This window comes from Homo sapiens, chromosome 11 (genome assembly GCF_000001405.40).
Source record: "Homo sapiens chromosome 11, GRCh38.p14 Primary Assembly".
In the NCBI taxonomy this organism is placed as follows: Eukaryota; Metazoa; Chordata; class Mammalia; order Primates; family Hominidae; genus Homo; species Homo sapiens.
Window position 1 is genome coordinate 43,585,299 of NC_000011.10, and position 14,144 is coordinate 43,599,442.

General features: G+C 37.9%; 1 protein-coding gene across 4 annotated transcripts in view; it reads left to right on the forward strand.

The window, feature by feature from the left end:
• HSD17B12 (hydroxysteroid 17-beta dehydrogenase 12) overlaps positions 1-14,144 on the forward strand; it is a 299,895-nt gene that overhangs the window by 28,578 nt on the left and 257,173 nt on the right. The window lies entirely within an intron of this gene.

Below are 14,144 nucleotides of genomic sequence, written 5' to 3' on the forward strand. Positions count from 1 at the left end.
ATTCTTATTGGGGATTTCGGTTCAGAGCTTGGCAGAGAATTTTGAAACCCCAGGGCTGTCAGATTTGTGAGGAAAGGAGAAACCAAGCTACCTGCCTAATCCTTGGAGGTCATGTGAGCCAAATGTGGGAAGCTGCCAGAAATTTTTAGAGGGAAACTCGAGGCTTATGGCAGAATAGAAGCACATTACGTGGAAGATCTTCAGATCTTTATACAACAGATCTATTTGCTATGTTAATTAAATGACTGCTACATGGATTTTTGGAAATTTTTACATTTTAAGAGTAGAGCTTAAATAATACGTAAATTGACTGGAATCGTCTATAATTTCCACCATGTAAAGTATGGATGAGGCCATCAAATTGTTAAATGAGCCTAACTTCTTTTAAGTTCCCCTTTTGAATATAAGGACCTGAAGTCTGCAGCATCTATCTTTGGGCAATAGGGTTGTTGTTAATTCCAAGAGGTTCACATCTTCCTTCTCCCTCCTTAACCGATAGTTCAGTTGCACTGTGAGAAAATCTAAGAAAATAATAAGGCGGGGTGGTGGGAGTCGGGTGGTGATTTTCTTGCCTGAAAGGTAATCTCTTCTAATTATGTTTGAAAAAATCCATGGATAGACTAAACCTCAAATTTAGATAGACTATGTAGCATGCCAAAACTGGAAAGAACTATAGAGTATATTCAGAGAGAGACCAATCTCTTCATTTTATAAATCAAACAGGTTCAGAGAGGTTAAGTGATTTTACCAAGGTCACACAGCTGGGGCTCAACCCCAAGTTGTTTACTGTGTTCTCTGGGTATTTTTTTTTCCACTAAGCATTTGCTATCACTACCACATAATACAGCTAATCCATAAACATAATCCAGGACAACAGAACAGATTCCCTTTGAAAAGACTGACACCCCAGGGTTCAAAGAAGAGTTTACAGAAAGTTTCTTCTGTTTGCAATTAGCATTCTGGGGGCATCATGAGAAGGTTAGGTATGGCTCTCATCTCTTGTCTCTGACATGGCCTAGACCTCAGAGCCTCCATGTTACCTTGGTCTGCAGAGGAAGTCATCAGCACAAGAAAGTTGCTGTGTCATAGAATCCTAGTATTGGTGTCTTTCAAAACATTTGCTAGCATGAAGCAGTTCCGTAAGGCATGGGTCCCTGTCTTTTATTTCTCTCCTCTGGGTGGCAGTTGATTCTCATCCTTCTTGTCCTGTGGGGCTTGACTGAGAGCTGTTAAGAGGGTAGTTAAACCCAGGATCTCCTTTATAAGCAAGAAGGCCCTCATAAGGAGGTTTCAAACCCAGTAAAGATCTGTTTGATCCTTGTCCCCAAGATATTTTTTTAGAATGCTGCAGATCACCTGCTTGTAGGACAGCTGCTTGGCCTGGTCAGTTTTAAGCTCATGATTTACTGCCAAACCCTGGATTGAACTCCACTATTTCAGCTTTACATATTTCTACCAATATCAGCCACTTCGAGGCCATATTAATCATGTCTTCAGAACATGGGAATAGTAGTCATGCTGTGCATGCTATCACAAATAAATTATTCTGGTGGCCTTTTTCACAGTCTCTCCCTGCTCTTTGCTCCCCCCACCTCCCATTTCAGAGATACACTTTCTGACAACTTCTAAATAGGAAATAAGATTCATTTCTCTGCTTAAAAAGCAACAGATTGGGAGGAAGAAAAATGAGATGGGGTGAAAGATACAAATAGGTTAAAAAGCAAAACAAAGCTGACAAGCGGTGGAAAGAATTAAAAGAGCAAATTCTATCTAGTCCCAACTACTCACATTTATGAACTTAAAGAAGCAATAGTATCCTCTCTAGGCCTCAATATCTCCATCTATAAAATTAAGTGCTTTGGAGGTCAGACCCCTTCCATTCATGCATTCGTTCAACAAATGTTTATTGAGTTTCTGCACTATGTATCAGGCCTTATTCTAGACATTGGAGATATAAATAAATTATTCTTCCTTTGATAATCTGTTTAAAGCTATGGACCTTGTCCCCAGCAAAAAGGAAAAAAAAAACCAGGCATTTTATATACAATTTCAGGGAGCTCAGGACATCCCTAGGTTCCATAGACCCCAAGTTAAAATTTTTTTCATTGAGTCTCTAAGGCCTACATTTTACAATATGAAGGTTTGAGCTTAGGTTGCATGGTCAAATCTTGGTTTTTAGTTGTTCTTTTTTTTCCCCCATTAGCACTTTGTTGCATTTTTATTGTGATTTTGGTCCTCCATTTTTGGAGAATAAATATTTGGAACTTAGTTAATACTGCAAGTGGCTAGAATAAATGCTGAACAGCAGCTCGTAACTGAGAGGCAAGGCAGACGTGGAGCTGAGGACAGAAACAGATGAGAAGTTTTGATGACTAATCTCAGCCTGGTCCTGCAGAATTTCAAAGAGTCAATCTATCTTTTAGGCTAAGTATTCTTGGTAAAGTCGATGGTTCCATGGAGGGAAGGGAGGTTTGTGTTGGAGCTGGACAGTATAAGATCACAATGCCAGGGCTCACAGCAAAGACGGATTTCCTCTGGTGCTTTTGACTACCAGGCACAATCATAGCTGGACAGGTCAGGGATTCATTGAGAAGGAAAGACCAGTCCACTTCTGGCCCTGTTGGGTTGGTAGACTGGCTGCTTCCATGTAGCACAGCAAGGGGCTTTATAGCAGGTAGTTCTGTTGAGATCTTTAGTGAAGGAGAAATTGGGAGGCTGAAAGGCTCAAAACAGACATGGATAGGTCTGTGTGCAAAGGTTTCACCCCAGTTCTGAGTCTTTCTGAGCATTTTTCTTCCCTGCTTTCAGCATCTTCAGAATTCTTACTTGCAATGAGGAAGGCCAGAACTTTTTCATTTAGGGCAAAGGGGCATTTACTGATTTTAGAACTGATCAGCTACTAAAAAAACTGGACTTTAGGTGGGGAGTTAGATGCTCTTATTTAGCACTCCCAGGTGAACAGCCAGTGGAAGTCACTGCTAGGAGAGGACCCTGGAAGTGAAGTGATCCATCTTTGAAAGAGCCAGGTAGGAATCTGAACTTGTAAAGTCTTTGTGTTAGATTGTGGGAGGACAGGATGAAGTGTGTGAATTTCTGCTTAAGCAAGAAAGCAGCAAGTTGTTGCTGCTGAGGCTAAAGTATAGGAAAATCCATCTAAATATAAACTTTTTATCTTCTCGATTTCTTCATCTGTAAAATGGGGATAATGATAACACCCTTCACCATAAGGCTTTGGTGAGGATTAAATGAGATTATGCATGTGTAAAGAGCCTAGTCAGTGTTCAAAAAATGTTAGCTATTATTATTATTAGCTATTATTATTATTATTATTATTATTATAGTGTTCTCTTTCCTGTCTGACACACATAGCAATGTCATACAAGGCTTAAATCATAGCATAAGCAGCTATAGGACCAGAGCTATTCCTAGAGTGACAGATAAAAGATAATCTTTTCTGGAAGCATCTGTCCATTTGTTCCATGGCCTGCCAGTGCCCAGGATTACCCTCTGGGAGCAAATCAGAAGGGTTGATAGAAAAATCTTTTTCTCTACTTTATGTGTCCCTACATGAAGATTATCTCTTTCTTGTTTCATTCTCCTTTTAATTCCTTGCTTTCACGTCCCTTTTAAAATCAATTGAATTTAATTACAATTGTTTTTGCAAATCACTCTTTTTGCCTTTATTATTATTATTATTATTATTATTATTTTGATGGGGAGAAAAAGCAATTCACCTAGGATACTTTTATTTTCAGCATATATCCAGTCCTAAATTTTCAATGTTTAGGCAATTTCCACCAAGGAAAAAAATAAGGAAAAATAGAAGGGCAAGAATATGTAACACTATTTGCTATCGTAAATAATGTTTTCTTTTTCCTTTTCCCGCATATTTAATCTTCATTCTTTCCTTCTTCTGACTTTACTTTTAACATCTTATAAATCTTTTTGTCTCCTCCTAAAACACTCCTGCCTCAAAATCTTTGTTCTCCTCCTTTTGATCCACTGAACTTGTCCTATCAGGCATTTCTTTTTAAGCCTTGGCTGCAAACTGCAGGGCTGATTATAGGAAGAATGTGATATGGTCCCTACATTTTCTGGGTAATGCCAGGAGAAAACACCAGGGCCACCAATTGTCCCCTGAACCTGTTGAACACATCTGAGGCCATTCCAAAGAGAAGGAAAAAATATTTTTGTTTTTGTTTATTATTTATTTATTTTATTCAGTTTTCATAGAAATTGGAGCCTTCCCCATGTACCTTTCTACATTTCCACTTTCCCACATTTAAACCCACAGTCTATGCATTGCTTCCACTTGGTGACTTTTCCTTTTTTCTGTCGTTTTAAAAATAATTATAATAAACGGTTCAGGGATATGTCAAACGTGGCCTAGAAAGTGGTCTTGCTATCTGTCCTTTTAGCTGTTTAAGGCAAGAATGATGAAGGCAGCATTGGAAGGAAGCAGTGAAACCTGTTGGTCAAGAACAATGGGTTTTGAAGACCAGTGAGATTTAGGTTTTTTGCCTAGTCCTGCCCTTATTAGCTGCATGCCCTTGAGCAAGTTATCAGCTGCACGCCCTTCAGCAACTCTGAGCCAGTTTCCTCATCTGTAAAGTGGGGATATTAAAAGTATCTGTTTCATAAGATCGTTAGGAAGATGAAATGAGCTGTCAGTAAATACACATTCCAGTGCATCAGGCATGTAGTATGTACTCAAGTGAGATGAACTGTTATTATTATTTAGACAAGTTCCTGCAGATCCAGGTCTAAATATAGTCCAGGAGTTGCTGGAGGAGTTGAACCTTGAATAAGGAAGGAGAAAAGTGAATGTAAAATGACTAGGAGTCATGAGATAAGAGAAGAGTCTAAATAAACTCTTGGAATTTCACAAGTGTCCCAATCTTACCAAGATTTTCCAGATGTTGTGAATTGGGCTGGGGCTGAGTCTGGAGCTGAATCAATGATGACCGCATAAGGGGAACTCGCTCAAGGGTTCCTGGCTTCTAAGTAGTAGACTCTGGGTCAGTTAAATTGCAATGACATTGCACCTTAAAATTTTAATACCTCAACTGGCATTAACCAGTAGGGGAACCATGATCCCCAGGGTCAACTCATCTTTAAGGCCCAGATTTTAAGTTTAGCAAAAAAAAAAAAAAAAAAAAATCAAGACAAGAAATAGTTTTACCATTTATTTTGTAGTGGAGTGAGTGATTTTTTTTTTTTTTTTTTTTTGAGACAGAGTCTTACTCTGTCACCCAAGCCGGAGAGCTGCGATCTTGGGTCACTGCAACCTCTGCCTCCCAGGTTCAAGCAATTCTCCTGCCTTAGCCTTAGCCTCCTGAGTAGCTGGGACTACAGGTACATGCCACCATGTCCGGCTAATTTTTTGTATTTTTAGTAGAGACGAGGTTTCACCGTGTTAGCCAGGATGGTCTCAATCTCCTGACCTTGTGATCTGCCCACCTCAGCCTCCCAAAGTGCTGGGATTACAGGCCACTGCACCCAGCTCGACTTTTTTTTTTTTTTTTTTTTTTAAATCTGTGGCCAAGAGCACTGGGCAAAGCATAAGAAAAAGAGGACAGAAAACATGCTTGCTACAGGTGGGTGTTCTATGAACCTAAATGAAATTATCAGGAAAATTCTGTACTTTTCAGCTAATTAAGGGTCAGTAGCTTATCAAGTAATTTAAAACCAAGAGTGAATTAGATATAGCCCTCCAAACTTTATCTTTCAGATTTCTACCAGCTCTGAACCTCAACACCACATTTAAATGAAATAATATTTAAATAAAAGAGGAAAAGTTTCCCCCCAGTGAATTCTCTTATGCCTAATTAAAAAATGTTTTTAATAAATAGGTAATGAAGCACAGAAACTGTCATTTATAATACAAATATTAAAGAAATACATTTTTATTGATAGTATACTGAATTAAAATTTGCTCAGTGTTGTTTATAAAACAAACATTTAAGCAAACATTTTAGGCCATAATATAAATAGATGTCTAATCTAGTGTTTTCAGATATTTGCAGGCTTGTAAAACTCTCTAAATCGTAGATATTTTCCTCTCAAAGTTATCCTTTAGGAAGTTTCTCTTGAAAAAACCTGTCTTACATAGTTTTACACAAGAAATCTCTGCATTTAAACATGAAGCAATCATGAAAACAGTGGCTATCACTTTAAATAACAAACAAATGAGATTTTAAAAATACAAATGCAAGCTTATTGCTTTTTTGAGGATTAGCTATTAGCTTTTGAGTTTATTTTTTAGTGATGCTTTAGAATTCTGAAAGGAAAATCTTTTTAAAAGAAGGAAAACCTGTTAAAATAAACTATATAGTTTTATTTTCATTTTATAATTTAAAATCTTGTTTCTTTGTGAACTACCTCTCAGCTAATCTGAGATTTAAAATGAAATTTTGTGTTTCTTTTTTTTTGTATTTGTTTTCTGTATAGTTAACTTGTAAACACTAAAGATAATTTATCCCAGTAAAGATCATCATTTAATTAGAGCTAAAATATCTAAGAAGGTATTTTATTTATGACTATAAAACATTAACTTTTCATATGACACAAAGAAAATGTAACTTTCCATAGGGAGTTTTATGATAATTCATTAATATGTTTATTTGGGGGCAGTGCACCACTTTCTTCTGCTATTCATAAATTCATTCCTTAATTTGAAAATAAGAATATTTTTGAGTTAATATTTTTTGTTAGAAATATAGTTTTCAGTTAAAATATTTTTCCAGATACAATTTTAAACTGAGAGCATTTTTAAACTAATTTTATTTTTAATAGTTTATGTTTTAACACTAGGTTGATTTCATCTCAAATTTTTTTTCTGTATGTGCTCATAGGTTATAAAATTTATAGATCTTAATATAACACATCAAAACAGGTTGTTTTATTTATAATATTTATACTTATGAAGGGATTATACATGACATTAAATAGTGACTGTTATTTATTTACTGCTTTGCTTTTTGGCAAAATTTTGTGTGTGTGTTTTTTTAATGCAGGAAGGCCTATAATAAATTAAAGTAGTAGATTCTGACATTTACTTGAGAATTAATAAAGTTTATGGAAATTTTCAGAAGTAATTCAAATTCACATCATCAAATATTAAAAAAAGACAGTATAAAAACCTGAGTCCCAGAATTACTCCAAATTAATTTTTTCCAAAAATTTCACTGAATATTTTTTCAAATACTTCATTGTTTCTCATACCTTGCATTGTGACCACCCACCTGGTGTGTTTAAATATATTATGTGAGCATGGAAAAGAAGCTGAGACATGAAGTGATTACAAGAATGAAATTCACTGTACTATTGCATACATCCTTTTCCCTGCCATTTTTCTGAGCAGACAGGCACAACCTGGGTATAGTCTTTTTGAATACACGGGTCTTTTTCCATCCTTCCTGTTGACTGTTAATATGCAAATTTATGGGTAAAATATGGCTTATAGAGCCATTTTTTTTTAATGGAGGTTTTCTGGTAGTCTGGAAGGGAAGTTGATGCTTGCTAATTTTTCTTTCTCTTAAAGGGGGTCAGGATCCTTTTTTGATCTCACACACTCTTAGAGGCTAAGATACATTTACTGAGAAGAGAGGAGAGAGGCTGTGTTCTCAAAAGATCCTCACTGGTTGAGGGAGAAGTATGTTACCAGCTAGGAAGTAACTTGGAGAGGACAGGGTACAGAGAGACATAGGGAGCTTATTCCAACATCTTAGCTTAGTGATGTCATGAAAATGCCGAAATTGTATGCTCAATATTTGTCTACATGCTGTTAATTTCATGGTCTTTCTTTTGTTTACATATTTGCACACACATGTGCACATGCACATATACTCACAAGCAAAGACCCTAGGCCATCTTTCTCACCTGGAAGGTAAAGCCATTTGTATCTGAAGCTACCCTAATGTTAGAACGGTCTCATGTGGCTCAGGCTGACCAGGGCGTTAGAAGATATGATTTCCTCCAAGTTTCATTTCAAATCAAAGTGGAGTCTATCTGCCACATAAATAAACTAAATATTGACAATATTTTTTGACATGGAATAGTCTTTTAATCAAAAATAGGTTACCGTCAAATCTGAACTAAATCTCAGAACTTTTTTTTGCCTCCTTAAAAAGATTGATTATGGAACTGTGCAGTTATCTGTGTCTGACAATGCTAAATCAAAATATCTTTAAATAAAATTTTCATCTCCAGCCTTAAGTATAGGGAAATCCCAACTAAAATGGTTTAGCATCAGTATCACATAAAAACAATGCAATTCTCAAGCTTCTAAATCCTGTGAAAAGAGAAAGAACTGACTTTATCTTCGTAAACTTCCTTGAGAGCTTTAGAAGAAAAGCAGTAAGAAATATAATTATAACCTTTAATGTTACTGTAACCATCATTATTTACTGATGATTTTGTGATTAAAAGGTATTGCTAGTGAGCAACAAAGAAAAAAAATCCAGGACAATTAAAGGAAAAATAATTAAAATATAAAAAGAAAAAGGAAAGAAAAAATCTGACTATGGGAAAGTAAATTTAGAGGACTGTTTGACCTAAGTTTAAAACATATAGTATAAATATCACATGAATTTCTGTGCCACTCTCTTCTTGCAGAAAAACACATGCATAAACCCAAAATGTATACATAGGAAATATTTCTAATCAATATCAAGCTTATTTAAAAATTCACTGCTGTTAAATTTGCCACCATATTTGGATAAATATAGAAATTAATACTCTCTGAAAAATATTTATTTTTTTCCAGACTAGGAACAAGATTGAAAGGGGAAACGGTCAATGCATCCTTCACCCTAATAATTGGATTAAGGATTTTCTGAGTCATAACGATAGTTAACTTTTTAAAATCTTAATTACTCCATAGTTACAAAATCCTTGAAATAGTAGTAATCATTTAAAAATGTCCTGAATGAAGTATACAACTTTGGGGAAGGATCTTCTTTCAGGAAAAAAAATTATAGCAATTTCTGCAAAAACAAATAAGAAGGTTGAATCTATTTGAAAATATACAGATTTGGAGGGAAAGATTCTTTTAGGGAAAATTCTCAGCAAATAGAAAATACATATTTGATTTCAGGAAAAGCATTCAATATAGAAAAAAAAGTACCCTAAAAGAATACTATATATTTTATGAGGAAATTAAAATTTTAAAATATTCTATTAAATTTTTTGCTCAAAATTTTATGAACTGATTTGGTTTTCTTTTCTCTTTTTTTTTTTTCCTTCCTTTTAAAAATTGTATTGCTATAACAACATTGATCTCAAAGCTGTGCTGCTCCTTGTAGACTGGCTGCTAAGTTTGGCTTTCTAAGAGCTAATGATCTGACTACCTGGCTGGTCTCTTATTTCTGAAGAGCTCTCATGCTCCTCCTGTGTTTGCATTAAAAATGCGTTTTACCCTGTGGAGTGCATTAGTCGTTTGTTTTTCATTTTCTTTTTCTTTCTGGATGTTTTCTTTCCTTCAGAATGTCACATTCCCTTGCCCCCACCCTGCCAAAATGTACCCAACCAAAAAAAGATTTTTTTTGTCTTCTTTCTTTTTCCTTTTTCTTATTTAAACATTTCTTTTTCCTGCAGAGCAAACACCTTTTACTTGTAGCAAACTTATAATCCCTGTGTAGTCAGAGCCTTTTTATTGGGACCACTGTGGTATTTCTACATTTGAGGCCCATTATTATGTGGCCTTGGGTAAAACGGTCTTGGTGAAATACCACAACTGCACAAATTTTCAAATATCTGAACTGCACAAATATTAACTATAAATAAAGGTGTGAGACTGACCCTGACACTAGCAGCACCGAAGCCCCTGTTTATTCTTGGTTTTCTATAACAGCAGAAGAGTCAAAGGGCTCCATGTATCCTTCAGATCTGAGGTAGGCTCCGCCGACCTCAAGCTGAAGGTTCTTGGATTTTCATGGAGCTGTCTTAAGTGGAGTTTATGTTGCAAATGTTTATATGCATGTGTCTTGTATATATGTTGCATCTTTTCACCTAAATCTGTCTGGGAAAGGGTTTAGCCCAGTCTAACAGATAGTTTTGAAAACAATAGTTGAATTCAGATCAGCTGGTAAGTGATATACTTTCAGTGATTATCTGAGTAAAATCAGCTGTTACATGCACACCCTCTCCCCTGCAGAAGTTGATGCAACACTGTTGATTTATTCATTTATTTATCCAACAGAATATCCTCTGGACGACTAGTCAGTGTTAGATGTAAATGAAGAGAGTGTACTTGTTAATGTTACTCATTAGATTCTATAGGTCTGTGGATTTTTCAAGTGATCTTCAGCTGTAAGATTAATGTATTTAAAATTAACCTTTGTTAATTTCTTATTAACACCAACAAAAAAAAATGGTAATCCCCGGTGGGGAGTAACCAGGCAATGGTTTTACTATTTATGTATTTATCTGAATAAACGAAAAATAATTCTTGAACATATACGCTCATGGATTGACAGCTTTCCACCTCTCTCCCCATTGTACATGAAAACATTCACAGAACACACATACACACACAGAGCGAGAGAGAGAGAGAAAGAGAGGAGAGATTTACTGTCCTATTGCCATGTTTACATTATCTTCCATGTTTTGGTGTTTGCAAGTTGGCCTGAAGAATGAGTTCATTCTCAAGTCATTTTGATTGCACTCATTCAACATAGAATCTTAGGATTTTGATAGCACTGATAGGGACCCTCAAGACCATCCAGCCCAAACTCCCCATTCTTTGTTTTGTGTTGTTTTGATTTGTTTTTTATAGGGGAAAGGTCTCACTATGCTGGCCAGGCTGGTCTGAAACTCCTGGCCTCAGGCAATCCTCTCACCTTAGCTTCCCAAAGTCCCAGCATTACAGGAGTGAGCCACTGCTACCAGCCTCAAACCCCCCGTTTTACATAAGGAAAACTGAGGCAGCATGAGAGGCACCATCTTGCCTAAAATTTGGAGAGAACTGTGATTTAGTGGCTGGTCTGGGGTTAGAACTGTTCACCCTGATGAGACCTCACTCCAGAGATGGGTATTGAGTTCCTGGGTAGAGTAAAGAAAAACAAACAGAAAAAAAAAGATGGTGTGCTTTTCTGGCTAGGGCATTTTCCTTTTTCTTTTTTCTTCTTTTTTGTTATTCTCTTTTGCTTTTGAGACAGGGTCTCGCTCTGTTGCCCAGGCTGGAGTGCAGTGGTGTGATCACAGCTTACTGCAGCCTCTATCTCCTGGGCTCAAGTGATCCTCCCACCTCAGCCTCCTCAGTGTCTGGGACTACAGACATGCACCATGATACCTGGCTAATTTTTTTTTCTTTAGTTATTTATAGAAACAAGGTATCGCTATTGCCCAGGCTGGTCTCAAACTCCTGAACTCAAGCGATCCTCCTGCCTTGACTTCTCAAAGTGCTGGGATTACAGGCCTGAGCCACCATGCCCCACTTAGGGTTTTTCTGAGACAGACTTATGAAAGACGAAATATCTGTCACCCTTTTCTCATGCTGTCCAACTGGGCTGATTAGTCTGACTCATTTTTTCATTTCTTTCATCAAGTCCCCCAAAGGAGACATAGCTTAGTGACTGCTCGTCTGAAGAAGTTCAGACATCAGTCTCTCTCCTCTTCGTGGAATAACACAACAAACATTTATGAACGCCTGAAATGTGTGAACACTTTGCCACATATTAGCAACACAGGATAAATTAGATGATATCTGTGGAAGTGCCTGGCACCTACAGTAGATGTTCAATAAACATTCATTCACTTACCACCTATTAGGACAGATTTAAGTCAAGACAGATTTAAACAGCACTGAATTCCAGGCAAAATGAATTAAGTGCTAACTAGAGGTCAAAACAGAGTGCTGTGGCACTGAAAGGAAGGAATGCTTCATTCCCATGGGTGGTCAGTGGGTCAGGAGCATGTGAACCATGCCTTGTAAGATGAGTAGGATTTTGATAGAAAGATCATGAATTAAGGGTATGTCTGGCTATGAGAATGCCACAGTAAAGGTCTGGAGTGGTGGGTGCATGGTATATTCTGGAAATGTTGGTGAATATATTGTGATTGGAACATTGGATAAATGGGAAGGATAAGGAGGAAAAGGAAGCCACAAAGGTAGTTAGGTGCCAGATTGTAGAGGAAGTTGAATGCTGAACGAAGGACTTTGGACTAATTTTTGAAGGCACAGGAGAGCCACCGAAGGTTTTAGACTGAGGGAGTTGCTCTCTGGTGATAATATTAGAGTGGTTTGGAAGAGCAAGAAAAATGGAAATGGGGCTGGCAAGTGGCTCTGACTAGTCATGGTCATTAAGAAAGACCTCCTGCTTTTTCGTTTGTTTGGTTTGTTTTGTTTTGTTGTTTTTTGTTTTGAAACGAAGTCTCGCTCTGTCACCCGGGCTGTAGTGCAGTGGTGCGATCTTGGCTCGCTGCAACCTCCACCTCCCAGGTTCCTGCCTCAGCCTCCCGAGGAGCTGGAACTACAGGCACGTGCCACCACAACCAGCTAATTTTTGTATTTTTAGTAGAGACGGGGTTTCACTATGTTGGCCAGGCTGGTCTTGAACTCCTGACTTCAAGTGATCTGCCCACCTTGGCCTCCCAAAGTGCTGGGATTACAGGCATCAGCCACCGCGCCCAGCCCCCTCCTGCTTTTCTTTTTTGTATCACTTCAAGGGGAGTCAAGAGAGTTGTGACAGTGCTTGATAGAAATTCAAGTATGATGACACCATTCATATGACCAGGAGTGATCTACTCAGTTCCCTCTAGAACTCTGGGTACCAAGTACTGGTCAGTGCCCTCCAAAATGCAGCCAGGTTATTGTGCATCCTAGGGTGGAAAAGGCTCATGGCTTGGGTGAAAGAATGGCCTCCAGACACCCAGAGTTACGTGTTTTATGTGTCTGGTTTCCTGGGTCACTTGTGATTCTTTGCAACTGCTTCCCCAGAGAAGATACTACCCCTTCTTCCCAAGTGAATCCTGCACCCGTTAAGTGTCTGTTTATGTATCATCTTGCCCCAGGTGTGTTAGATGCGGGTCTCTCTGAAAAGAGCTGATTTTTAATCTTGTTCTTGACCCACTTTTATTAGTGAATCCGTTTCTTGAGCTGGGGTATTTTTTTTTCCTGCCAAACTCGATCTCGGTGAAGCTGATTCGCTCTTCTTGCATCCCCATTTCTGTCCACGCGAGTATGTGCCCATAGGAAAGTATCTTTTTGTGGGCCTCAGAGTGGGAACCAGACCCTTATTTTACTCTGTACATCCTGCAGCTCTCTTCTCTTCCTGCTTTGTTTTCTTGTGCTCTGTGCCTGTCACTTTTCCCCTTCTGCCCCCTAGGATTCCCATCATTGTCCCTAAGCCCTCTTCCTCTCTTAATCCTCTTGGTTCCAACTGCCCTGCCTTCTGAAACTTTTCTCATTCATCCATCTCCGGTCTCTGCTCTGATGTGCCTGTGCAGTGCCTTCCACGTCAGAGTGGGGTATGCGGGTGCAGACAAGACTCAGTCAGACCTCAGGATGAGACAGGATCACCAGGCAAGCCAGCCATATATGTACCTGTGTGGGGGTGGCACTGTCATACCACATCTGCACATCACATCTGCCCAATGGTGTGTGTATGTCAGAGAAGCAAGTATCCTTTAGGATATGGACCCTAAACCAGACATTTAAAAATCTGAGTTTGGTTGCCAACTCTGCCACCGATTTCTTACATCACTTTGGACAATATCATAGTTGAGGAGTTAAATAGAATCTGTCTGTTAGTAAATAAGACATATACTCTCCTTCCGTTTTATAATATTATTGCTATCTGCTCAACGATCTATCCATCTATCCACTAATTCTTATACCTAGATAAAAAGTTTCTGGAACGATGTTCACCTAATGGTAATGATGGTTATTTCTAGATGGCAGGACTCGGTGTGATTTTTTTCCTAACGTTCTTTTATGCTCTTCTGCACTGCTTGAATTCCTAATAGGAAATCAGAATGCCTGGAGTGAACATTAGCTCAGATCACCATAGCCTATGCGACCCTTAGGACTTAATCTCTCTCTTTCTCTCTCATTACCATCTATAAGGAGATTTTGAAGGTCACACCCTTCTCCCCAAATCCATGATTCTTTATTTCTTCTTTTTTAGTTTTTATTTTAAATT